This window comes from Homo sapiens, chromosome 9 (assembly GCF_000001405.40).
Source record: "Homo sapiens chromosome 9, GRCh38.p14 Primary Assembly".
Lineage (NCBI taxonomy): Eukaryota > Metazoa > Chordata > Mammalia > Primates > Hominidae > Homo > Homo sapiens.
Window position 1 is genome coordinate 89,510,265 of NC_000009.12, and position 26,252 is coordinate 89,536,516.

Sequence of the window (26,252 nt, forward strand, 5' to 3'; positions counted from 1 at the left end):
CTTGCTATGTTGCCCAGGCTGGTATCGAACTCCTGGATTCAATCCATCCTCTTGTCTTAGCTTCCCAAAGTGTTGGGATTACAGGCATGAGCCACAGCACCTGGCCATTTTGGTGTTTTTCTTCTACTTTTAGAATCCCATCACTTTCTCTTCTAATTCTATTACCGTTCTTAATTCTGCAATCTAAATTTTAATTTCCAAGAGCTCTTTTTTATTTTAAAAAGGTTACTTTTTGGTAGTATGTTGTTTTTATTTAATGGAAACAATATTATCTGTTTTCACTGACGATCTTAATTTTAATTTGGGGGGGAATTTTGAATTCTCTTCCATTTCCTCTGCTTCCTTTGAGTTCCTTCTCCTGGGTGGGTCAATGTGTTCATTTCTGTCTTCTGGTGGTGAGGCTTCCCCCATGGTGATCCTGGCTACACACTCAAAAGCAAGTAGGAGCTGCTGATTACTGATCGCTCATTGAGAACTTCACTGCAGAGTGTTTGGGCAGGGACCAGATACTTCTTTGGCACCTGACTTTCTATATCAATAAATCTTTTCTCCTTGGCTGTACATTTCCCTGGGAAAGAATCCTCCATTCTCCTGTCTGGAGAGGGGTGAGAGACGGGTGGGGATCTGCCTGGCTGCCGTGTTCTCAGGCTGAGATGGGCACGGGGCTGGAGGGTTTCCTTGTCTACCGTGATACATTTTCACTGCCAGGCCTCTGCCCTCCCCTGTCCCTGGCATCTCTGAAGACAGAAAGTAACAGCTTGTACCTGGCTGCACACAATAGGAAATGGACGAGGAAGTCTCTTTGATGCTTAGCTTTTCACCCAGTTTTCTCACTTTTGGTCTCCACCTCATCTCCACCTTCAGAGACCTCCAATTTCGAGGCTTCTCTGAGTCCTGCACAAGACTATCTGGATTCTCGGCCCTTGCCCTCCAGGCACTTAGCTCTCTCTGGTCTGCTAAGTCAGAACCACATATCCATCTGCTTTTTAACTTCCAAAATTGTGTTGACATCTTTCAACTACTGTCATCTCTTCTCCCATTCTCCAGAGTGCTCATTCCCCTCCACAAACATTTTACTAGGGAAATTTCCAAACAGAAATGGTGCAACAATTGGTTGGTGAATGCCTGGATACCCACCACTAATTCCCCAATTAGCAGGTGGCTACACTTGCTTTATCCCACATCTGTGCACCTGGTGATCTATGCACCCAGCTATTAATCCATCTCATTTTAAAAAATACAGTCCGACTGCAGACATCAGACATCAGGACACTTCTCCTTTAAGACTTAATACTTTAAATGGCATTGGTTCTCTTTATGGTTTCAACTCTTTCCCTGATGTCTGAGGAAACTAGTTGGAATTACGTGAATTGCTCTTCTGTTCCTGCAGTTATCAAGAGTTTCTTCCTGGTCGGATATTCTGCCTCTTTGGCAAGTTCCTCTCTCTCCTTATGAGTTTTCCCAAGTGTCCAGTAATTCTTGGTTATCTGTTGATGTTTAAAAATAAAGACCTGGGTTGGCTGATTTGGGTGGCTGGGTTGGCCTATGCTATGGTCTGAAAATATCCCCCCAAATTCATATGTTGAAACTTTACTGCCAATGTTGTGGTATTAAGAAGTGGATCCTTTGAGAGGTGATGAAGTTGTGAAGGCTGAGCCCGCTTGGATGGGACCAGGGCCCTTCTAAAAGGGCTTGAGGGAGTGGGTTCGCCCTCTTCCATCTCTCTGCCATGTGAGGACAAGCGTTCCTCCCTTTTGCCTTTGTGAGGATGCAGCAATGAGGTGCCCTCTAGAAAGCAGAGAACAACCTTCACAGATGCCCAGCCTGCCAGCACCTTGATCTGGGACTTCCCAGCCTCCAGAACTTTGAGAAATAAATTTCTATTCTTTATACATTCCCCAGTCTCCTGTGTTTATTTTGGTGTCAGGAATGGTCCAAGACAGCCTCCCTCAGCCTTTGGGCTTGTAGGTCTGCTCGCCATAGGAAACGGCTCCTGGACCTAGGTGTATGCGGGAGTGTGGTGCAGGTTGAAGGCTGCGGGTTGGGTGAAGGTATGGAGGTGAGGGGGAGATGGCTGTTGGGCTGGGCACCAGCAAACTGTGGAATGGAGCAATTTGGTGGACTGCTATGGAGTCACCTTAGTGAAGCTTCCCCACATTGTTCAGAGTTAGCGTGGACCATGCTATTTGTAAGGCAGAAGGGAAGCACAGAAATGTTTCTTTTATGCTTGGAAGGCGGGGCCAGGTCCACTAGATGCTACTGCAGCTCACATGTCTTGGCTGGTCTGCTGGTGCACAGGCTGGGGTGGGCAGTGGCTGGGCCTGTGGCTGCTCCAGAAATAGCCAGATCCCTCCACCCCAAGCTTCTCCTTCCCCTGGGCCGGGTGCATAATTCATTCTGAGATAAGGGTGTCCCCTTCTCCCGCAGGACACATGGATCATCATCGAGGTTGGCGGCTCAGAGCTAAGGAGCACACGCTGCAAACCAGCCCACCTTGGGGATGTGACTTGTCCTCACCCTCTTTATACCCATGTCCCCTTCCTGACGCTGCCCCAGGCTTCTGAGACAGTAGCCTTCCACAGGCTTGGAACTGCGGTAGGCATCACACCTTGTGGTTCTGCATCCCTGATGGAGCTCACGCTAGCCCCCACACGCCCACTAGAGCAACTGGACCACTTAGGAAGTTTAAAAGTTTTTAAAATAGGGGTTCTTGTATTTATGTTCATGGTTTCTGTGTATTCTTCTTTAGACATAATATAGATGGCATCCTTGTGTTTATAATTAAATTCAATATACCTAATACTGTTTAATGACTGGAAGCTTTTGCCTGCCAGGTGAAAATGGAGATCTATTTGTTTACTTATAATAGTTATCACCCTCCATCATACTTTAAAAATAGGAGTCTTGGGCTCCAAGCTCATATAAATCAAGAGACTCCTGTACCTGGAGACATTCTCCCTCTGTGCCTTTGGGTGCATCTCAGCTCCTTCCTCCTCCCAGCTTGGCTCCGTCCAGGCTCAGTCCAGATCCTGGAGCCACGGGCACTGAAACAAGGTCTTCTTAAAAGTCTGGAAGAGTTTAGGAGGCTTCAAACATCCATTCATTTACAGGTTACCAGGACAATCATCTCACTGCAGACACCTAATGATGTCTAAAGACACAGTGTTCCGACTAAGTGCTTACTGTGGGCCCTACACTGGGTTCAACACCGTGTTTCAATATTGAAACTTTTTCATGGTGTGTTGAAAAGAACTGAAAATGAATACAGCAAACACCCGTCTGAAGGACAGAGATGACCAGTGCCGAGCAGCCTCCTGCAGCCCCCGCCAGCTCAGCCTCCACTCGCCCTGACAGGCTACCGCACAGAGGTGAGTGTTTCTTAGACTCTTGTGTTGCTGTCATCATTGTAATCACACATGTATGCACCTTGGGGCATTTCCCTATCTCGTTTTACAGACTTTATGAACATGGTTAATATGCCTAGCTCAAGGATTTCTTGGGAGCCCGAGGGTTACAAATTAGCACACAATCTCCTAGAAAGACAGCACAGCCTTGGAAATAGGTGTTTTCTCTATTTCAGAATTCATTTTCCACACTCTCTTATAGGAGTTTCTTTTTTCTTCCCATTCTGTGTTTAAGCCTCTTCTGACCTATAGTAAATCTCACTGTTTTGACATTGTCTTCTCTGACTGTGTATGGCTTCTTCTAATTATTGCTCATCAAATCTATTTCTTAGCATTATGTCAAAATCAGATGGTTATTTTTTCCATCTGTTGCCACAATCTGTTCAAACCATCACACTAGGTGAACCTGCAGGAAATCGTATCAGCCAAAAGAGAGACGAATGTGCTTCAGCCAGACTTAATATGGACAGGGTTTTGGTGTGGAATACGATATTTGAAATCTTCTTATATAATGTCAAGTTCAGAAAAATGGCTATTTTCTCTGGTGCCAGCAGTGGGTAACACAAAAGCAATGGTAAGGCACAAGTGGGAAACCCTCACAATATTCTTGCTCCATAATATAACAATATTTAATAAAGAAGCTCCCCAGGCCCAGCCCATTCCTCTTCAACTCAGAGGGAAAATTGAAGTCCCTATATTTCATTTCAAAGGCTCTAAGTGAATCGGAAGGAAAAAGTCCTCTTCTTGAAAGCATTTCACGTGGACAGAGTGGACTCATTCCATGCTACGCTGCTCCTGCTAAGCAGAAAGCTGTGGTTCCTTCTTCATTAAGTAAAGTGGTTTGCAAAGCTCCAGCATCGTAGCCATGTGCTAATGGTATTAGGACCGAGGGACCATTGGCAGCTCAAGGTTGGAGAGTGAAGTGGAGCCAGGAAAAAGTGGGCCTTGACAAAGCCTACTGGTATTTTTTTTATTAGGGATGCAATGGTGTCTCTATTCACTGCAGCAGATACAGAATGCAGCAAAAGATTGTGCTGGAAAAACCCAGTTAAGAGAGAAAGACAGAATCCCTCAGTCGAAATGTATTTTCCAGGAGAGATAAAGGGTGAGCCTCCGTTGTGGGGTTGCATACTGGCCCCACTCCAGGATGCCCACATATTGGGGTCAGGTTTTCATGCTGCCCGCCCCCACAACCTGACTTCAGCCCTGAGGCAGAGAGGATCCCCATGATGCTACCACATGTGGTACTGGTCCCCTTTGTCAGTGTCAACTTGAAGTAATTTATTGCTTTGCCTTTCAGAGCAGAAAATAGATTCATTGGTGGTTTGTAAAAAGCATGCTTTTTTGTGAACGTATTCATATGTTTTACACTTTTATTTTCCTTGTGCAATTATCGACTCTCACTTTCATTAAATTGTGTGAAACAGCAGCTAGCCCACGTTACAATCATGTCTCTTGGTTCTCCCTGCCCCTCCCCCTCGGATATCCAAAGGCATCTGCTGTTCCTAAAAGGCTGGATGAATGACAGACCGTGATGAAGGGCCATGGCTGCCCTATAAATGGACCACTGCTTGTGCTGCTTGTGACTAACTCTTTCTTTTTGTTTTTGTTTTTAGAGACAGGGTCTCATTCTGTCACCCAGGCTGCAGTGCAGTGGCGTGATCACAGCTCATTACAGCCTCCACCTCCTGGGCTCAAGTGATCCTCCTACCTCAGCCTCCCAAGTAGCTTGGACTACAGGCACAAGCCAGTATGCCCGGCTGATTTTTTAATTTTTTGTAATGATGACGTCTTGCTATGTTGCCCAGGCTGATCTTGAAATTCTGTGTTCAAGCGATCCATCTGCCTTGGCCTCCAAAAGCAATGGGATTATAGGTGTGAGTCACTGCACCAGGCTGGTGACTTACTCTTTCTAATATCATAATACAAAATCCTTGATCTGGAAAAACATTTCCTCTTCATCCTCAGCGCTGACTGGGGCTGAGAAACCTTGGTGGGAGGCTGCCAGGGAACCTTCTGCCCAAGTGGCTCAGCGCCAGTGGACTCATGGAGTAGCAATTGGTCTCAATGACAGAACTGGCTTTGGAGCAGCAAATTTTAGGGGCACCAGGAAGGCCTCTTCCCCACCACGGTGCTTGCCACTCCACTGTGAGAATTTCTAATTTCTTTAGGGCTCAGGTCTTCAATAGTGCTGGTACTTCTAAAAGTATCTGAGCTTGAATCTTACTACTACTGTCTTTGGATGTAGGTGGTGGCCAAATGAGAGAAGAAGGATGTTTGGGAACAGAATAGGGCTGACGGATGTTCTAGGAGCACCAGGGGCGGGGGATGGCTGGACAGAAGGAGGTGAGCATCTAGTCTCTCGGCTTGTGGCTTGCATCTCACCAGCCAGTGAGGAAGGAGCGGGAGAGATGGGGTTCTGGGTGGCCTGGCCTGGGGCTCCCACTCTTTGTCCTGGGCAGGAACAGCAGCCTACACACCTTGCAGGGCTGCTGTCTGTGGCCCCAGTGCCCTTGACACCCCAGGGGGGCTGCAGACGCATCACCATGCTAACAGACTGTGTTCAAGGTGCTGAAGGCTCACTGATGTCCATCAAGGGCCTTTAGCCTCCATGCCTGTGGTCGGGTGCCTGGGAAGGAAACCTGAAAAGGGGCAGGGGGGGTAGGGGAGGTCAGAGACTGCCTCCATGCCACCCAGGTAAGGGCGCAACACACAGCAAGCCACCTGCCACAGGCTTGGAGGAAGGAGAGATGAAGACCACTCAGCTCTGGTTCTTCGTCTCCACCCTCATCCCAGCCCTCGGGCTGCTCTCGGCTTCTCTGGACCAAATGCCCTAAGAGGCTTTGACACTTTCAGGGATGAAAGAGTGGGATGAGGAGAGGAGAGAGAGACTGTGGTGGAGAAGGCGCCTTGAGAAGGGCCAGGGAGTAAGCCCAGAGCTGACTGCGGGGGTGGGCATGGGCCCTCACCTACAACTGTCTTCCCCACAGGAACCCCAAGCACTGGAAGAAAGAAAGCCCAGTCAGTGAGGCCAAGCCTTGGTTAAGGAATCGTGCCCCTGGGGGTCCACTAGGATGCATGCTTGTTATCTGGGACATATTTTCCTTTTATTTTTTAAAATTTTTAATTTGATTTTTTTAAAAAAAGTTTTAATTTAACTTATTTCTTTCCGATTTTTATTTTAGGTTCAGGGGGCACATGCGTGAGTTTGCGATATGGGTGAATTACATGTCATGAGGGTTTGGTGTATAGATTATTTTGCCACCCAGGTAATAAGCATAGTATAGGATAGGTAGTTTTTCAGCCCTCAACCTCCTTCCACCCTCCACCCTCAAATAGGTCCCAGTGTCTATTGTTCCCTTCTTTGTGTCCATGTGTACTCAACGTTTATCTTCCATTTATTTATTTATTTATTTATTTATTTATTTATTTAGACAGGGTCTGGCTCTGTTGCCCAGGCTGAAATGCAGTGGCACAATCTCGACTCACTGTAACCTCCACCTCCCAGGTTCGAGCCATCCTCCCACTGCAGCTTCCCAAGTTACTAGAACTACAGGAACAGGCCATCCAGCCTGGTTAATTTTCATAATTTTTGTAGAGATAGCATTTTTCCATGTTGCCCAGGCTGGTCTTGAACTTCTGAGCTCAAGCCATCTGCCCACCTTGGCCTATGGAAATGCTGGTATTACAGGTGTGAGCTGATGCACCTGCCCCTGCTTATAAGTGAGAACAAGTGGTATTTGATTTTCTCTTCTTGTGTTAATTCACTTAGGATGATGGCCTCCAGTTCTATCCATGTTGCTGCAAAAGCCATGATCTCGTTGTTGTTGTTTTTTTTTAATAGCTGTGTAGCATTATGTGTATGTGCCACATTTGCTTTATCCAGTCCACCACTGATGAGTATCTGGGTCGATTCCATGTCTTTGTTATTGTGAAGAGTGCTGCAGTGAACATACAGGTGCATGTGTCTTCATGGCAGAATCATTTATGGTTCTTTGGGTAACGGAATTGCCGGGTCAAATGATACTTCTATTGTAGGTTCTTTGAGAATGCACCAGACTGCTTTCCACAGTGGCCAAACTAATCTACATTCCTAACAGCAGTGTGTAAGCCTTTCCTTTTCTCCACAACCTCACCAGTATCTGTTATTTTCTGACTTTTTAATAATAACCATTGTGACTGGTGTGAGATGGTATCTCATTGTGGTTTTTGATATGCATTTTCTTAATGATTAGTGATATTGAGCATCTTTTCATACGCTTATGGGCCACATATGTGTCTTTAAGCCTTTTTTAGCCAGGCTTTTTTTTTTTTTTTTTTTTTTTTAACAAACAAAACATGTGCGTCCCAACATCTAAAACAAGCAAAGTAGATCATCTCCATGAACAGAAGGTTGGGGGCCTGGAGGCTGTCTCTTTGTCCTGGGCAGGAACAGCAGCCTACACACCTTGCAGGGCTGCTGTCTGTGGCCCCAGTGCCCTTGACACCCCAGAGGGGCTGCAGATGCATCACTATGATAACGGACTGTGTTCAAGGTGCTGAAGGCTCACTGATGTCCATCAAGGGCCTTTAGCCTCCATGCCTGTGGTCGGGTGCCTGGGAAGGAAATGTGAAGAGGGGCAGGGAGGGTAGGGGAGGTCAGAGACTGCCTCCATGCCATCCGGGTAAGGGCGCAACACACAGCACAGGCTTGGAGGAAGGAGAGATGGCTGTATCTTGGATCCTCTGCCTCCTGGGATACCAGCCCTCGGGATAGTATCTTTTTGCCCTTGACAGCAGAAAATGCTACCTGTTCCTGACAAGCACGTAGTTGATCTTTGCATATCTGCTGCTAGACCTTTGGAAAATGAGTGTGAATCTCAGCTTGAGGAGACTTCAAGAAAGCCTGGTGACCCCTGCCAGGAGGGTGACAGGTGAGGCCCTAGCACATCTGTCCTTAGTGCGAGGCACAGCCACTCTCCCACCCCTGATTGTCTGTACATGAGGGTGGGCCTGGAGCTGGGAGATGGTACAGCCCAGCACCTGAGTGAGACCTTTCACAGAGAGATCACTTCCTTTTTGTGCTTTGTTGAGTCTTGGCAAATCTTAACCCGATTCCTTTCTGGGGAGGGGGAAGGAAGGGGTCTCCAGATTGTCAGATGCACAGAAATAACTGAAAGCCCTTGGTGTTAAATGCAGCCTTGAGTCTGGTTTTGGAAAGAATTGGCCTTCTTGGAAACTGTAGCCTCAGGGATGCAGAGAAACTAGGCCAGAACAGGAACTTGGGCAGGGAGTGAGTTTTGTTCCCTTCACCAGATCTGGGAGGGCTCAACTGTGTGTCTGCAACAGGTCAAGAAGCAAACTCTAGAAGGCCCTGCCCTCCTGGACTAAAATCTTCACTTCTCACGAGCTGATGGTTCAGTCCTCATGCAGCCGGGGCATGTCCCAGGAAAGCCCCCAGGGTGGCATGAGAAGCAAAAGGAGGTTTTCAGACTGCTTTAACCAAGAGTACCAACCAACAAAGAGTACAACCAAATGGTGCCTGTGACTTCAAAGGCCAGGTCATCAAAGGCTGACAGCTCCCTCCTGCGGGGCTTGCTGAAGCCCTCATTCTTGGAGATCTGAGCCACCAAATAAGAAGCCTGAGCCTCCTCAGCCCACCATGCCATGGGAAGCCCAGGCTGCAGCAAAAGGCTACATGGAGAGGATCCATTCAACAACCCCGGGCTACCAGCTGGCAGCCAGCATCAGTGTCCATCCAGGTGGGTGAGTCACCGGATGGCTGGCCCAGTCAAGCCTTCTGATGACTCCAGCCCCACTGATATCTGACTATCACCACATGAAACACCCTATACAGCAACTCACACAGCTTAGTCCTCCTCACATTCCTGACCCTACAATTGTGAAATGTCATATGATACAATGGTGTTGTCTTAAGCTACTAGCTTGGGGTGATTTGCAGTGCATGCATAAGGCTGTGCCCATGCTCAGAGGTGTGCGCAGGCTCAGGAAAGACCTAAGAAGGCCCAGAGCTGTCACCTCTGGCTGACCTTGAGGCCCTGTGCCAGCAGGAAGTGAAGGCCAAAGCAGAGTTGGCAATTAACTGGCTGACTGAATGTTGAAGGCATGCCAGACACACATACACAGAGCCCTGTTGCAAAGATCAGGGGACATACTGGCTTCAGGCTGCATTAGTCAGGATTTTCCAGAGAAATAGAACCAATAGGATAGATAGATAGATAGATAGATAGATAGATAGATAGATAGATAGATAGATAGATATATGATGGATTGTTTCACCCAATTATGGAAGCTAAAAAGTTCCATGATCTACTTGTCTGCAAGCTGGAGAGCCAGCCAGTGGTGTAATTCCACAGCATCATTCAGTCCAAATCCAGAGGCCTGAGAACCCAGGGAGCCAGTGCTGTCAGTCCCACTCCAATTCCATAGCTCCAAAAACTGGGAGTGCTGATGTTCGCAGGCAGGAAGAAATAGATGTCTCAGCTCATGCAGAGGGAGCAAATTTACCCTTCCTCGCTTTTTTGTTCTATCTGGACAAAAATCACCGTCAGTGGATTAGATGGTGCCCACACACATTGATGAAGGCTTGTCTTAGTCTGTTTTGTGTTGCTATACAACAGAATACCTGCAATTGAGTAATTAATAAAGAACAGACATTTACTTTCTACCGTTCTGGAGACTGGGAGGTTCAGGATCAAGGGGCCCACCTCTGGTGAGGGTTTTCCTGCTGTGTCATCCCGTGCCAGAGCACAGAATGGCAAGAGCAGGCAAGAGAGAGAATCCTTTTGTCAGGACCCCACTCCTATGATAACCAAATTAATCCATCCATGAGAACAGAGCCCTCATGGCCTAATCACCCTGTAAAAATCCCACCTGTCAACACTGGGGTGCACTGGGGCTTAAATGTCTAACATATGCTTTTTGGGGGGACACATTTAAACCACCGCAAGGTTGAACTTCTTTACTCAGTCTACTGATTCAAATGCGAATTTCTCCTGGAAACGTTCTCATAGACACACCCAGAAATAAGGTTTTACCAGCTTTTTGGGCATCCCTTAGCCTGGTCAAGTTGTTACTGAAAATTAACCATCATACAGGCATTTAAGGAAATCTCTGTCCAATTGCTAGCTGACTACTGTGCTAACTGAGGAGAAACTTCAGTGGCCACACATGACAAAGAGTGCAGGCTTCACACAACTAACTCAGAAAGGTCTCTGAACAAATAACAACAACAACAACAACAAACCCTGGGTAGTGGGGAGAATCTGATTTCCAAAGTTGTCACGTTTCATTATTTAAAATGCCAGTTTTCAGCAAAAAGTTAAGAAATATGCAAAGAGGCTGGGCGCGGTGGCTCACGCCTGTAATCTCAGCACTTTGGGAGGCTGAGGCAGGCAGATCATGAGGTCAGGAGATCGAGACCATCCTGGCTAACACGGTGAAACCCCGTCTCTACTAAAAATACAAAAAATTAGCCAGGCATGGTGGCAGGCACCTGTAGTCCCAGCTACTAGGGAGGCTGAGGCAGGAGAATGGCGTGAACCTGGGAGGTAGAGCTTGCAGTCAGCTGAGATCAGGCCACTACACTCCAGCCTGGGTGACAGGGCGAGACTCCGTCTCAAAAAAAAAAAAATATGCAAAGAAACAAGAAAGGATGACTGTTGTCAGATGCAGGGGAAAAAGCAGACAGTAGAAACTGTTCCTGGGGAAGCCCAGGTATTGGCCAAACTTACTAGACAAAGATTTTAGGTCAGCTATTTAAAATATGTTTACTGTAATCCCAGCACTTTGGGAGGCTGAGTCAGGAGGATTGCTTGAGCCTGGGAGTTCAAGAGACCCCATCTCTACAAAATACTTAAAAATGAGCCAGGCATGGTGTGTGGCGGTAGTCCCAGCTACTCAGGAGGCTGAGGCAGGCCCTGAATTTTGTGATTGCTTGCACCCAAGACTTTGAGGCTGCAGTGAGCTATGATTGCACCACAGCACTCTAGCCTGGGTGACAGAGCAAGACCCTATCTCAAAAAACAAACAAAAAAAACCCAAAAAACTATATATATATATATATATATATATGTTTAAAGAACCAAAGCAAAGTATAAAATACTGTTTCACTGAATGGAGGATATCAATGAAGAAATAGAAATTATAAAAAAGAAAATTATAGGCTGGGTGCGATGGCTCACGCCTGTAATCGCAGCACTTTGGGAGACCGAGGCAGGTGGATCACCTGAGGTCAGGAACTCGAGGCCAGCCTGACCAACCTGGTGAAATCCCATCTCTACTGAAATACAAAATTAGCTGGGTGTGGTGGTGCATGCCTGTAATCCCAGCTACTCGGGAGGCTGGTGCAGGAGAATCACTTGAACCTGGGAGGCAGAGGTTGCGGTGAGCTGTAATCATGCTGTTGCACTCCAGCCTCGGTGACAGAGCAAGACTCCATCTCAAAAAAAAAAAAAAAAAAACTTATAGAAATTCTGGATGTGTTGCTGAGGTGTCCAATATTTTGGCTGAAAGATGTTCCATGATTCTAACTACTGGAGATAAAAGGAACAACGATCTGGAAAATAACATTTTCAAGTAAAAAGTGGCTGAGACTGAGCCCAAAGTGATGCCTCAGTCTGCAGGGGGTGTGGCCCACGGGAGACAGGCGGGTGTTTCTCACCCTGGCCTGCCTCCTGCTCAGACTGAATTCAGTGTCTTATGCATGGCAGGCACTCAGTAGTCTTTGTTGAGTCGTAGGGTTGAAGGGGTCAGAGAGAGAGGAGGGGAGTGGCAGGAATCATGGAGACGTTTACAGGGTGGGAGCAGAAAAGAGTGTTTTAGACTTGGTGACTTCTCCGGTGACCTCAGTGCTGTTTCGTGGCAGTGCTTTTCAGGTGCAGGAAGTGGTTTGCCTTTGCCCCAGCTTAGGCACTTCCTCTTTGTAGAAGAGTCAGAGGCCTGCAAGAACTACTCATCCTGCACCAGGAGTAAAACCCTATGGCTTGGAAACAAAGTCTGCAGGCTTCGAGCCAGTTAACGGAGCAGCTTCAGAGGGGTAGACGTGTGTCCCATTCATGTCCAGTGTGTGGAGCACACTGATGTGTGCAGGCCCTTCCCAGGGGCTCAGCGTTTAGCAGGGCATGGACACAAATACCTCACCACAGGGCCATCTGAGAAGTGCTGTGAAACACAAGTGCAGGCCAGCAAGCTTTCACAGGATGGTCACGCAAGGAAAGGAAGAAAGTCTGCAGCCTATGGATGATGTGCAATTCTCCCCAATGTCAAAAGAAATCCAAGACCTGTGAAACTCGTAGACTCAGTGAGGAAAATTTTTGACCACCTGCAGTGACTGGAACTACTTCCCTGAACTGCTGGAGCTCTTAGCGTAGCTAGTCAATCACTCAGGCCCTGGCTGGCTCACTCCTTGTCCTGCTGCTGGCCTTGGGTCCATCCACCTGATCATCCTCACTCTAGCATGATAGCAGGTGAGGACATGGAGGTGGTCAGTGACTCAGCAGGATTCTGTTGAGTAGCTCCTGGGTAGATATTCATCAGATCATTTTTCTTTGTTATTAGATTTCAAAAAAATATATAATAAGAGATGGGGATGCCAATGGAATAATGGGATAAGGGGTTGGAATGTTGGGGTACAATTAGCTTTACTGGTCATTTATTCATGCTCTTTCTTTGTCTAATTCCAGAGATAATTGTGACTTGACTTTATTTAGAATTCCAAACACAGACCTTGCCTGAAATAGGAAGCCAGTCTAACATCTGGAATCCCCTGATTATACTCATGGAAGACACTGTCCTTTTCCTATTTAATGGAATTTCCTCATTTCCTTTCCTGCCAAAAGAATCCAATTTTGCATTAAAGTTGCAGGCAAAGAGCCCTTGATCTCAGAGAAACTAGGCGTCCTGCAGTCCCTTTGGTTTAAGCTATTTAGCTGTAGCAACCCCCTTCCCTTTGCTACCGATTGTTATGGGGTGGCACAGAACCCTATTCTGCACGTGGAGAGGTAAACAGAAGTCAGCTGAAGCCTCCAGGTCTTTTTCCCTATGGCTTCCTTCTGGTTTGGGATGCTCACGTGATGCCTGGAGCTCTCATAGCTATTTTGTAACCAGGAGGTAAGCAGTGTATGGCCCTAAAGCTCTTGTGCTGAGAGTGAAAACTGAAGGGCAGGCCATGCCTGGCTTGGAGGACATCATTGAGCAATGGCGCCAGCTCTGACTTTCCATGTCCAGGCCACTTCTGTGGCATCCGTAAGTGTCACAATTATTGAAGCCCCTCTGAGATGGGCGTTCTCATATTTGTTGCCAAAATCACTTTTATGGAAATATTTTTACAAAAATCAGCCTAAGTGATACTTTACACAGACATATTTATTCCTTTTCAACCAACCTAAGCCCATGTTTTCATTCCTTTCACTGATGATCTCATCTGTCAGCAGAGACAGGAAGGACAGCTGGAGGGTGTCACCTCCACATAGGTCCCAGACAGACAGATAGGAGGAGGTTGAAAGCGGCCCATTGGGCTCTGTGGGTTGCAGAGGGAGGTGTGCTAGAAGGAAGGATTTGGGGAAGCAGCTTATTCTGCCCTTTCCTTCTGGGCTGCATCCTGGGCTGAGGGTCTTCCCGTGTCAGCCAAGAGCAAAGGGTAGGGAGGCTTTTGGACAGTCAACATCTTGGGTCTCAGAAAGATACCTCCTCTCTGGGGACCCCCACTACTCCTCAGGCTCGCTGGGAGGGTGGGCAGCGTGGTGCTTCTAAAACATGTTTGCAAATTCTTTAATAGTCCTCTGGCCAAGAAGTGCAGCCTGTGTTCCTGTCCTTGAACCCAGATGGACCTTTGTGTGAGTTCTGAGGCTCAGATAAAAGAGGCCACACTTCTGTGTCCAATGCCCTTGGAACACTTGCTCTGGGAGCCTCCATATAAAAAGTCAGAATTCAGAGGACTCCAAGTGGAGAAACCACATGGAAAGACCAGAGAGAAAGAGACAGACAGACAGACAGAGGAGAGAGAGACAGACAGACCCAGAGAGAGAGAGACAGAGAGAGGGAGAAGAGAGAGACAGAGAGGAGGAGAGAGAAGAGAGACAGGGAAACAGAGATACACACAGAGAGAAAGGAGAGACAGAGTTGGAGAGAGAGAAGAGAGAGGGGAGAGAGAGAGAAACAGAGATAGAGACACAGAGAAAGGAAAGAGTGAGAGTAAGAGACAGAGAGATACAGAGTGAGGCAGAAAGAGACAGAAAGAGATAGAAAAAGAGAAAGACAGAGACAGACACACACAAAGAGAAAAGAGAGACACACAGAGGGAGAGAGATGTAGGAGAGAGGGAGAGAGATATAGGAGAGAGAGAGTGGGAGCTGGCTCAGCTGTCCTGTCCCCACCGCCTGGGGCTGGACCTGTGAGTGAAGAGGTCACTGAGATGGCCCTGCCCGGCCTCAGTCTCGGCTGCAGCCCCCTGAGAGAAAGCCTGGATGAGCTCCGCCTGGTCTGATGGAGACTCTGGCAGGGTCAGATTCATTCTGGGAATGGAAGAGCTCAGGCTGATTGGGTTGCTGATGTCTCCATGGTTACCTGGAGTCACTAGAGAAAGACAGCCTCATTTGAGTGGGATTCAGGGTCTGACCATCCAACTCTGACTGCATGTGTGACATGCGCTGCTGCTGTGTGTTTGGCTTTTCCACTCGTGTCCCCAAAATCTCCACTCCAGCTACTGAAGTTTTAAGATATTGAAGACTCAAGCAATCCCCTTAACATCAGCAAAAGGCTGGGATGCATCCAGGAAGCTAGGCTGTCTTTTTGCCTTGGGGGGAAAACGCCGGAGCCTCCTAAAATTCAGTGCCTTCCCTCTGAGCCCGGGTTTCGCTGCTGTAGGGAGACTGACAAGAAGGCTAAGGACAGATGGAAGGAGAAAGCCATGAGAGACACCGGAAAGTGGAGAAGATAGGGGATGCAGGTGTGAAGACTGGAGGAGGAGCGCTGCTGGAGGCGCAAACTGTCGCTTGTGTTTTTGAAAAATGACTCTCTTCAGAAGGCCTGCTCTGAACACGCCTTCCACAGCACAGGGTGGTGGACAAACAGGCGCCTTCCCATTTGTCCAGGTGGAGAGGTGACTTCAAAGCTTAGGTGTGAACGTCCCTGTGGAAAGTGGGGCCATTAAGCCCCAGACAGTGTGAGTGTGACTGGTGACTTGAGTTCACAGCGGTTTGGGTTCCTGTGGCCATTTCCTTTAATGACACATTTGCCTTATGAATTGTTATCTGTAATTTCTGAGGAGACAAAGACAAAAGCGGAAGTAGTTGGTTCCAAAGATTTAACCATTTCTTCCATTTCTCAGTGTTCATGACTTCACGAATCATGAGGAAGAGGAGAGGACATGGAAGAGATGGCAAGACAGCAGGTCCTCCGGCTGTGCAGTGGGGAGGGCAAAGCGGGGCGCACGGCGAAGAGGACCAGCCAGGCCCGGAGCCCCAGGCAGCGCCTCACCCAGCTGGGGTAGGAAGCACAAGGGCAGGAGCAGAGAGCCTGCTTCCAATGCTGCTGGTTTGCCCTGAGTTTCAAAGTCCACGACCCAGGACTGGCTGACTTCGTGGGAGGATTTAACCAAGAAGAAAAACTGGAATTTTGAGATTCCAAAGCCTTCCACGAAACTCCTTGAATATATTTGTATGGATGTGCTACTCAAAGTTTATATGATTTTTGACCCAATAATTTCATTTTCCTATACCCAGATGATTCCCCCAGAGAGAGCATAAGAGGAAAACAAATCAGAAGGTCCAGTGGAGAGCTTCTACCCTCATTACCAGCTCCAGGGACGGGGATCTGCACCTGGTGAGAGTGAGGGGCAAAGGCATCAACTCTTAATTTTCCAACTTTGAGGAAATCATTCACCAGTCCGTCACAGCCCCCACTTTTATTTTCCAACTTCTCACCCTGTTTTCAAGGGCTCCTGAGTGAAACCATTTAGGCCCTTTCCCTCCTCTTTGCTCTCTCTCTGAGGCAGCCTGAGTGGTTCCTTCTCCCAGAGGGGCCCTGGGTCTTTCCAGGCATCTGTCGGGGCCCAGTCACTCTCCTCCAACTGGAATGTTCTGCTCAGCATTTTTTTCTGGTTAAAACTCAACCTATCGCCATGATATTCCTTTTGGGGGACAATTTGGCAATAGGTGTGTCACAATTTTACAGGTGCAGTCCCATTAGCTGAGAACATTTATGAGTCATTTCTATATTTACAGGAGTGCAAGATCCACGAATGTGCCTGCATGCTGTATACAATGGTAGAAAATAAAGAAGGCCATCTGCATGTCCCAAGTTAAATACAGCATGGCCCAGCCACACTGGGATACATGTAGCTTTAAAGAGAAGTAGGTAAGTATGCCCAGATATGGGAAGATGCCTAAATTAGTAATCAAAGGCTAACAATATAACTGTAAGCTAAGCAACTTGAAACAACCAGCATTTATTGTCTCACGGTTTCTGTGGGTCAGGAGTCCAGGTACAGCTTAGCTGGTCCTCCACAACCAAGGTGTGGGCTGGGGCTGCAGTCACATTTGAGGCTCGAATGAGGAAGGACCTGCTTCCTCACTCACATAGTTGTCAGCAACATTCAGTTCCTTGTGTGCTGTGGGACTGAGGGCCTTATTTCCTGCTGGCTGTTGGCCAGAGGCTGCCCTCAACTCTTTGTCACAGGGGCCCTCTTTATGTGGCCACTTGCTTCCTCCAAGCTAGCTAGGGAGTGTGTCTCCTAACAAGACTGATGTGATCATCTTATGGAGCATAATCATGTACATCCCATCATCTTTGTCACTTTCTATGGGTTAGAAGCAAGTCTGTGTTCCAGGGGAAGATATTATGCAACGGAGTGCATATTAGGAGGCAGGGATCATGGGGGAGGTGACCATCTTAAAGGCTATCCATAATATATCCAGAATATATTTTTAATTAATAAAAGGCAAATGAATCAGAACATAGAAGGGATGGGTAGCTAACTACAAAAGATTCTACAGCATTGACTTATTGCTGGGAGTGGCTCCCAGCCAGGACCCCATTCCTCAGCACCCATGGACTGTGATCTAGGGAGGACCAAGTGTCTGGTTCTCACCAATGGAACATGAGTGGATGGGGTGAGTGTCACTTCTGGTCCAGAGGATTAAGAAGTGGATGTGACTCCCACAGTCTCTTTTGCCATCTGCCCATTGAATTGAAGAGAGTCACCATTGAAGATGTGGAGCTGCCCAGTGAGTGGGTCCAGGAATCCCTGCTGGGAGGTGAATCACCCAAACAGGAGCGCCCACATGGATGGAGATACGCACAAGAGGTAAACTTTTATTTTGTTTAGCTGTGGAGGCTAGGATTTGGTTATTACAGCAGCAGCTAGTATACCTTCAATAGTATATACGGTTTAGTATAATCTGATTCAAATATCTGTGCATAAGTGTGTGCAGTTATGGATGTATGTTGCCATACGCACTTTTCATTCTCTTAATTGGGTAGTCAGAATTCTTCAATGTGTCTGCATAACAAACTATTCCAAAACTTAGAATCATAAACAATAAGCATTTCTGATCTCTCGCAGTTGCTGTGGGTCAGGAATTTGAAAGCAATTAGCTGAGCGGTTGGGGCCGCTGTCTCATCTAAAGGTATGAATGGGGCTGGAGGTTCCACCTCCCAAGCAGTTCCTCATACAGCTGGGCAGTTGGTGCTGCTTGTGTGTGGGAGGCATGCAGACCTCTCTGCCGGGCTGCTTGAGCGTCCTTATGGCATGGCAACTGGCTTCCTCCAGAGTGAGGAATCCCAGAGAGAGCAAGGCAGAAGACTCAATGTTTTATGAGCTAGCCTTGGAAGTCAGGCACAATCATGTTTGTGATGTCTGTTGATGACACTGGTCAGCCCTATTCAATGTGGGACAGGACTACACAGAACATGAAGAGGGAGAGGCTGGCTACCATAGGGAAGTCACAATAGAAAAACACCTTGATCTGAATCTCAGGGTGGGGCATGGAAACGGAAAGGTTTAAGCAAAATAAACAAAGTGAAGAACAGGCTCAGCTGCTCTTAACGGGAGCGGTGATGCAGGCTTTTGTATACCGAGTGAAGTCACACAGGGAGAGGAGTCACAAGGAGGGTTGCAGAGGTCAGCAAGGCTGTGGTGGACATCTGTGGACACGGTGACAGAGTGAGCCTCAGGGCTGCTCAGTGAAGGCCAGAGATGGTATTGCAGAATCAGGAGCCCAGCACAGAGATAACCAGGACAGCAAGCCCACAGACTGCTGAGTGATTCGGGAATTGATCCTTCCCTCATCTCCAGGGAGCTGGAGCAGAAACCAATGGTGTATTTGTGATGGGGATGGTGGGTCTCACTCTCAGGTATCATGTGGAAGGAGAAAGAGGCTGCTCCTTTAGACTGCACTCATATCTGAGTGGGTCATCCTCTAGGCTTTGGAGATTCAGGTACCTGCTACCTGCTGTGTCCAAGGACTCCCAAGTGAAGGGTTCGTGATTCCCGGGTTTGGGGGTGGTGCACAGGAGAAAATGTCAGCATTTTCATTTTCTCTCTAAAAACCAGGAACCCTGCCCTGTGCTGATACTGAGTGTGCACCTGCCCTCCGGCAGCCCCTGTTTTTCCCAAGCCCTGTGACTACTCTCCCCATCATGTAAGGGACAGATAGCTTAATAATACTCCTGCCAAGAGATGGCAGAATAAAGATTCTATTAATCATTTCTCTGGCAATGAGACAATGGCAGAGCCGACACTGTAGATCTCACTGGAGCCCCACGCACATGACAAGAGCAAGAAACTGTTTGAAAGAGAGACTGACACCAGCATTGTCAACACAAACCATGCCCTGGGTATGCTGCTCATGGAGTGTTAGCTAATGCAGTATTAAGCCAGCATTTTTAAAAAAAACTTATTTTTTAATTTTAATTGACACATAATAGTTGTATGTATTTATGGGATACAATGTGATGTTTCATTACATGTATATATTGTGTAATGATCAAATCAGGGTAATTAGCATAACCATTACAACTTCATTACTTCTTTGTGGTGGGAACATTCACAATGCCTCTCTTCTAGCTATTTGGAGATATACAAGAACTTATTGTTAGCTACAGTTACCCTACTGTGCAGCAGACACCAGAGCTTATTCTTCCTTTTAACTGTATCTTTGTACCCGTTAACCAACATCTCCCCATCCTCCTCTCCCCGCTAGCCTTCCTGTCCTCTGGTAACCACAATTCTACTCTCCACTTCTATGAGCTCTTTAACTCCCACATATAAGTGAGATCATGCAGTATTTCCCTTTCTGTGCCTGGCTTATTTTGCTTTATATAACATCCTCCAGGCTCATCCATGTTGCTGCAAATGACAGGATCTCATTCTTTTTTCATGACTGAATAGCATCCCATTGTGGATATGCACCATGTTTTCTCTATCCTATGTGTCCTTGATGGACACAGGTTGATTTCATCTCTTGGCTATTGTAAATAGTTAAGCTAGCATTTTTAGCAGAACATTTGGAAATAGTCTTTCAGGTTTATCTTATCTTTTAAAAGTTTTGGTGTATGTTTTGTAATGTGTATAATACATACAGTAGTTATGTGTATATAATAAATTTGCATAGATATATGTATATTGACTTTTTACAATTAACAGTGATGTAGTTCAGAAAATGAGATGCCCTGTTTGGGTGACTATTCTGTCTCAGGTGTTAGGTTGAATGACCAGGTGGATAACTGTCTAATTTCTTGCTGGTCCACAGAGACAACTGCCCTTTATCACCTCCTCCAGAGCACAGGTTGAGGGCAGCTACAGTCACATAGTGCTTGAGAAGCAGCCGGTGAGGCCATTCCTGTATCACTGGCCCTGAAAGCCAGCTCTATGCACTTTTCTGTGCCGAACAGATTGTCCTGGAGAGTTAGCTTTTTGTCTACTAATCTCTATGCTTGGAGGTCTTTGTGGAATGGAAGTTTTCTCATTAGCAGGCAACACAATGAAAAACTTCCAATAACTGCTCTTAAAGACTTTATCTGGGCCGGGCACAGTGGCTCATGCCTGTAATCCCAGCACTTTGGGAGGCTGAGGCAGGCAGATCACCTGAGGTCAGGAGTTCAAGACCAGCATAGCCAATATGCTTGCCGGGTCTGTCCCACAGACCCTGGCCAATCGACGGATGAACGGGGTACTCAGACACAGGTATGCAGTGGAAGAGCAGCTAGGGGACTTCCAGGCTCTAGTGGCCAAAGTACAGCATCCTCGAGAAGCTGGAGCTGCTTGCTTTTATTGAGTGCAGGCACAATGCTAAAAGCCTGAAGCAATACACAATCTGTGGGTAATTAACATTTATTGTTCCCCTTTCAGGGAACTTATGGAACTTATGGCGGATGATCACAGGTCAGCTCCTGGCCAACATAAGTAAACAAGCCTGTTTAAGATAAATTTCCCTACAATCCCTTGTACCTACTCCTTGCCCTCTGCCTCAGGGTTAGAGAACAGCTGTCTTCAGCTATTCTCCCCCGAAACTATGCAGAGCCTTCTGACCTTTCAGAAGGCCTGCTCCTTTCCCTATAGTTTCTCCCACCACTCTGACCAACCTCCTAAACATGATGAAACCCCGTCTCTAAAAAAATACAAAAAATTAGCTGGGCTTGATGGCAGGTGCCTGTAATCCCAGCTACTCAGGAGGCTAAGACAGGAGAATGGCTTGAACCCAGGAGCAGAGGTTGCAGTGAGCTGAGATCGCACCATTGCACTCCAGCCTGGGTGACTGAGCAAGACTCCATCTCAAAAAAAAAAAAAAAAAAACACCAAAGGAAAAAACACTTTATCCTGCCAGGAATAGAACTGAACCAGGAATCCATGAAACAAGAAAAGCAACTCTGGGGGCCCCTGGGTGAATCTCTGCTCCTAGCTGGGTGCCATCCTTCCCTCATGGGTCCAGGAAGCTTCTACTGTCAGGGCCTGAAAGACAAAAAGGGGTGCACACAGAGCCAGGGGTTCAATCCCATTTATCTCTGGGGTCATGCTTTCTGCTGGACATGGTGGGCTTAGGTGTGTGAACATGCTTGGACCAGACTTGAGTCAGAAGAAGAATCATCCTCCAATTTAGCTATGAGAACAGCACTGTTCCTGAGTGGTGAGAGTCAGCCTGCATCCCTCTGGGGCCTGGAGTCCTTGCAGGGATCGTGAACTGCTTCCATGGTCCCCACTTGGAGTACAGCAGGACCTGGTGCCCAGAAGGGGTGGCCATTCATGTGGCAGGCTCACAGCCTCTCTGCTAAGCACCATCTCTCCCAGAGCCGGCAGATTTTCCACGGTGGTGCAGATGGCCTGAAAATGGCCAGGATTTGGGGCCTCCACATCTCCATGGCTCAGCCCCAGCCAGCAACCAGCATGGGCATCCTAGCCTATGAGTGGCCACCTGCTTTCCGTGTGATGAGAGCACACATCAGTTGCAACAGGGTTGCCAGGCTTAGCCAACAAAAATATTCTCCTATGCAATATTGGGGATATAGTTATACTAAAGTTTATTTGCTGTTTATCTGAAATGCAAATTTAACTAGGCTGTCCGTATTTTATTCAACAACACTAATGACAAGGGCTTTGAATCTGAGTTCTGCTATCTAGTGACCTGAGAGCTGCCTGAGCTCTCTGAGACTTAGTTTTGTAGTCTGCAGAATGGGAAGGACAATGCCACCTCTCTGAGCTATCCATGTGGCAATATGCAAGATGGGAGAGAATCTTCCAGCTGAGTGGCTGGGGTCTTGGCCCACCTGCCTCTTGTGTTGTGCAGGGGAATGCAGCTGCCCAGCTCCATGTGCAACGAGAACTCCAGTGGAACAAGGATGGCTTGTAATGATGCTAGTGACAAAGGTTGCCATTTATAATTGGAATTCCTGACCAAGGTTTCTGTTCAGCACACAACAGCCCCTTCATAAGTGCTGGGTGCAGTCCACACTCTGTCATTGCCACCGTCGGCTCTCTGGCTTGAAAGGCTCTGGGAGTGCCAGTGAGTCAATAGTTCCTGTTTGATGAGAGCTGCTTTATCACTTCCAGGTAGCCCTGTCCCTCACCATACTGCATAGGGATGGAGTCACCCTGGTGTTGGGCGGACTATGGCTCCAGGCCCAGCAGTTCACAATGATGGCATGAAGGCTGTGATGGTTAAAAGGGGTCAATTTGACTGGATTGAGGGATGCCTGGATGGCTGGTGAAGCAGTTTCTGGGTGTGTCTGTGAGTCAGAGGACTGAGAGGAAGACCCCCTCTCAATGTGGACGGGCGCCCTTCTGTCAGCTGGGGGTGAACAGGTGGACAAGGCAGGTGGAAGGAGGATGGATATCCAGCACTCTCCCTCTCTCTCTCTCTCTCTCTCCCTCTTCTTGAGCAGGAGGCTTTTTCTCTTCCTGTCCTTGGACATCAGACTCCAGGTTCTTTGGCCTTTGGACTCTGGGATTTGCATCAGCAGCCTCCTGGTTGCTCTCAGACCTTTGACCTAGGACTGGGGGCTGCACTGTTGGCTTCCCTGGTTTTGAGCCCTTCAGACTTGGACTGACTTTTTTCATAACCCAGCCTGCAGATGGCCCAGCGTGGGACTTGGCCTTTGTAACTGTGTGAGCCAATTCTCCCTAATAAACTCCCATATATATATATACATATATCCTATTGATTCTGTCCCTCCAGAACCCCAACTAATACAAAGCCTTTCTTGTAGTCTCTCAGGCATGCTCCTCACTCCTGACATAGGGACATTATCTAGTCTTCACCCCTAGGGAAACTCACCCACAGCTTCACAGCAGGAGGGCACGCTGCTTCCCACGAGGCTGGTGGACTCCAGCATAGGCATCCTCAGCCCTGCACCAAGTCCTCAGCCTGAACAGACATAGGAGACAGCGCTGCACATCAGGAGGCTGGGGGTGCATCCTGGGAGATGCCTTCGGGCCAACTTCCCTGGAACTTTCCAGTTGCCATGGTGACAGTCAAAATCGTGGTGATATTTCAGGTGGTTGGCAAGACACGGAGTCTGGGACAGCATGCTGCAGGCTGATGTCCCTCTGATTCAGTGTCTGTGGCTCTGTGCTGGGAAGGATGGGCTTGAGGAGAGGGTCAAGCAGGGCTGGAGAGGATTCTCCTGGGCCAAGCAGATAGCTTTGCCCGGAGCTGTGCCAGTCAAACCTGGCATCTCTCCTGGAGTGTGTAATGCGGTGGCAGTTTGTGACATTAGGGAGGAGGTTGATTGATTATGGTTTGTAACAGGTCATCCAGGAACAGCAGCCATTGTTTTAATGAAAAATCCACATGGCTGATGATGGAGAGGAATGTAAATTGCCTTGGAGGACAGCGTGGGCCTTGGGAGTGACCCAGTCCAGTGAGATTCTTACCAGCTGCCATGTGACCCCCTGTGCACTGTGCGTTCATTGCTGCTTGTCAGAAATGCCTTCTACCAGTTAACTGGGTCCTATTTTTGATGTGATAGCTAGATTGGTCTCTGTTTTTTAGCTCTCTTCTCGAATGGTTTTCAGAACTCAATTTCCTTTTCTTGCCTAATTTTCATCAGGTGATGGTCTTATGATTAATAAAGTAATGTTTATCCATTGTAGTTTAATAATTTTAAAAATAATATTTGTCAGTTAGAAAATAAGAAACTCATAGAGGAATAATCAGAATCACTCATGATTTCCATCCAGGGGTCGAATGCCAGACCCCAGATCTTGCCCCCACTCCACCCTCCACTGCCAGGATACTAAAAGCTGCGTTTCCTGCTCATGTGGGAAGGGGGGCCCAGAGTATGTGGGGTGGGGGCAGCAAGGGCAGAGTCCATGAGGGCCTTATGTCTGATTTGAGGTGGGGCTTAGCGAGGACGGGGTCACTGTCTGGGCTGATGGGGCAGCCAGGTGAAGAGTTGAGGTGAGGGATGCGCAGCCTCCCAGGGGCCAGCCGTCTGTGGAGGTTTTCCATGGAAGGATTGATGGCTCTTTCGGGAATCTCCTGTTGTAAATAATTAAGCTGCTTGCTTGCACCAGAGTCTGCGGAAGGAGCTGAGATGCTGACAGCAGGGGGCGGAGAGCCAGTCCTGCCTGCAGATGAGGGTGTGGGGGTGTCTGTGTTGTGGGGGCTGGATGGCTCCGGCTCACACAGGACATATATGAACACATGGTAACCTAATAACTTTGCATGCGTTAGCTCAGGTCATAATTTATGACAGCTGAAATGGACAGCACTAAAAAGGACATGGGAGATGGAAAAACCATTGCCTTTTGCGCACCACACTCCTGCTCACACAGTTCTAGGGTGTACACACATACCTGCGCATGGAAAGCTGTGTGTGAGACTGTGAGTACATGTATGTAGGGCTGTGTGTATGTGTGTAGGGCTGTGTGTGTATGTGTAGGGCTGTGTGTGTGCGTGTGTAGGGCTGTGTGTGTGTGTGTAGGGCTGTGTGTGTAGGGCTGTGTGTGTGTATGTGTGTAGGGCTGTGTGTGTGTATGTGTGTAGGGCTCTGTGTGTGTGTGTAGGCGTGTGTGTGTAGGGCTGCGTGTGTGTGTAGGACTGTGTGTGTATGTGTGTAGGGTGGTGTGTGTGTGTATAGAACTCTGTGTGTGTGTATGTGTATAGGCCTGTGTGTGTGTAGGGCTGTGTGTGTGTGCATGTGTGTAGAGCTGTAGGTTTGGTGTGTGTTTAGGGCTGTGTGTGTACAAGTGTATAAGGCTGTGTGTGTGTGTGTGTAGGACCCTGTGTGTGTCTGAGTTTTATTGGGGTTGTGGGTGTAAATAAGTGCAGAATATTTAATCAAGGCAATGAGTTCTAATTTCCTTTTTAGATGAAAAATTGCAGTCTTTACCTTGTCAGGCAAGTGGAAATGTGATAAATGTCCCAGTTTCCGCACAACTGTTGTTCTGTTGACAGCTGTCAAGTTCCACCTGGCACACTTGGGGCTGCGCTGGCATTCTGGCCTTGCCTCACCTTGCCCTCAGGTATAGGATGTGCTCATGGTGCCCCATGGCAGCGAGACCTTGCCCTGCTTCACACCCTCTGAGCCCCCAGGGACCCCTGGTTGTCTCAGCTCTATGGACACCCACACCTGCCAGGGGGGTCACAAATGGCCAGCAGGTGAGGAGAGGCACCAATTGTCCTTCAGCCACCAGGAAGGAAAGTCCTTGAAGGAGGGCACCACCTCCAGGGGCTGAGGATGTCATAAAGTGATTGACTTTAAAGAACCCAAAGACAAGTGCAGGGTCCTGAGGAGGTCTGAGGTCCCAAGTGGGGCCAAGAGGAAGGGGGAGAGGGTGGGAGATAGCAGGTCTGGGAGATATCCTTGGGACCCCATGAAGCAGGCCTGACGAGCGTGCAGGAAGGAGAGTGCTCTCAGTTGTGGAGGAATCCATATACAATTTCCAGGACATTATTATTTATCCCATTTGGTGTTACAATTTCAGAAGAAGGAATTAAAAAATCACAAGCAAAATAAAACAAACTACTCAATCATCTGAGTAAAGTTCTGAGTGCACAGTGTGATTTCATCAGATAGAAGGTGATTTTGAAAGATGGGTCTCAGAGTGAACAAACAGGAAAAGAAAAGGGGATCCCGGCACTGGTGTGAGCTAAGTTGCTTGGGTGCATCCGTAGCAAATGGATTTAAAATACAGGCATTTAACGTAACACTGGAGAGTAAGACGTAATGGCATCCAAAGCTATCCATGGCATAATATTACATGAAAATATGGAAGTTGGAGCACACATCACCCCTCACATATGTAGGTGTGTCTATGTGCAGAGAAAAGGCAGGAAGGAAGTGGACAAACTTGCTAGAAACGGTTAGATGTGGGAGGTGAGAACACAAAGTGGTCTCCTTTTTTTCCTC

At 47.7% G+C, this 26,252-nt stretch overlaps 1 long non-coding RNA gene across 1 annotated transcript, besides 7 other annotated features; it reads left to right on the forward strand.

The window, feature by feature from the left end:
- Positions 12,537-12,616: an enhancer, noted in NCBI's record as "active region_28548". NCBI's record gives its function as "activates an Ori minimal core promoter by ATAC-STARR-seq in GM12878 lymphoblastoid cells {active_cell/tissue: GM12878}" and the evidence as "EXISTENCE:reporter gene assay evidence [ECO:0000049][PMID:35858748]".
- Positions 12,757-12,866: an enhancer, noted in NCBI's record as "active region_28549". NCBI's record gives its function as "activates an Ori minimal core promoter by ATAC-STARR-seq in GM12878 lymphoblastoid cells {active_cell/tissue: GM12878}" and the evidence as "EXISTENCE:reporter gene assay evidence [ECO:0000049][PMID:35858748]".
- Positions 13,833-21,198, forward strand: LOC105376137 (uncharacterized). The gene is made up of 3 exons (XR_930102.3): positions 13,833-16,226; positions 16,628-16,760; positions 17,568-21,198. It is a non-coding gene; the product is annotated as an uncharacterized LOC105376137 (long non-coding RNA).
- Positions 21,988-22,157: an enhancer, noted in NCBI's record as "experimental_108656 CRE fragment used in MPRA reporter constructs". NCBI's record gives its function as "activates a minimal promoter by MPRAs in K562 erythroleukemia cells, with activity observed for both the introgressed and non-introgressed 9:92147252 variant alleles {active_cell/tissue: K562}" and the evidence as "EXISTENCE:reporter gene assay evidence [ECO:0000049][PMID:34662402]".
- Positions 21,988-22,159: a biological region, named in NCBI's record as "Neanderthal introgressed variant-containing enhancers experimental_108656 and experimental_108657".
- Positions 21,990-22,159: an enhancer, noted in NCBI's record as "experimental_108657 CRE fragment used in MPRA reporter constructs". NCBI's record gives its function as "activates a minimal promoter by MPRAs in K562 erythroleukemia cells, with activity observed for both the introgressed and non-introgressed 9:92147254 variant alleles {active_cell/tissue: K562}" and the evidence as "EXISTENCE:reporter gene assay evidence [ECO:0000049][PMID:34662402]".
- Positions 25,490-25,659: an enhancer, noted in NCBI's record as "experimental_108660 CRE fragment used in MPRA reporter constructs". NCBI's record gives its function as "activates a minimal promoter by MPRAs in K562 erythroleukemia cells, with activity observed for both the introgressed and non-introgressed 9:92150754 variant alleles {active_cell/tissue: K562}" and the evidence as "EXISTENCE:reporter gene assay evidence [ECO:0000049][PMID:34662402]".
- Positions 25,929-26,098: an enhancer, noted in NCBI's record as "experimental_108664 CRE fragment used in MPRA reporter constructs". NCBI's record gives its function as "activates a minimal promoter by MPRAs in K562 erythroleukemia cells, with activity observed for both the introgressed and non-introgressed 9:92151193 variant alleles {active_cell/tissue: K562}" and the evidence as "EXISTENCE:reporter gene assay evidence [ECO:0000049][PMID:34662402]".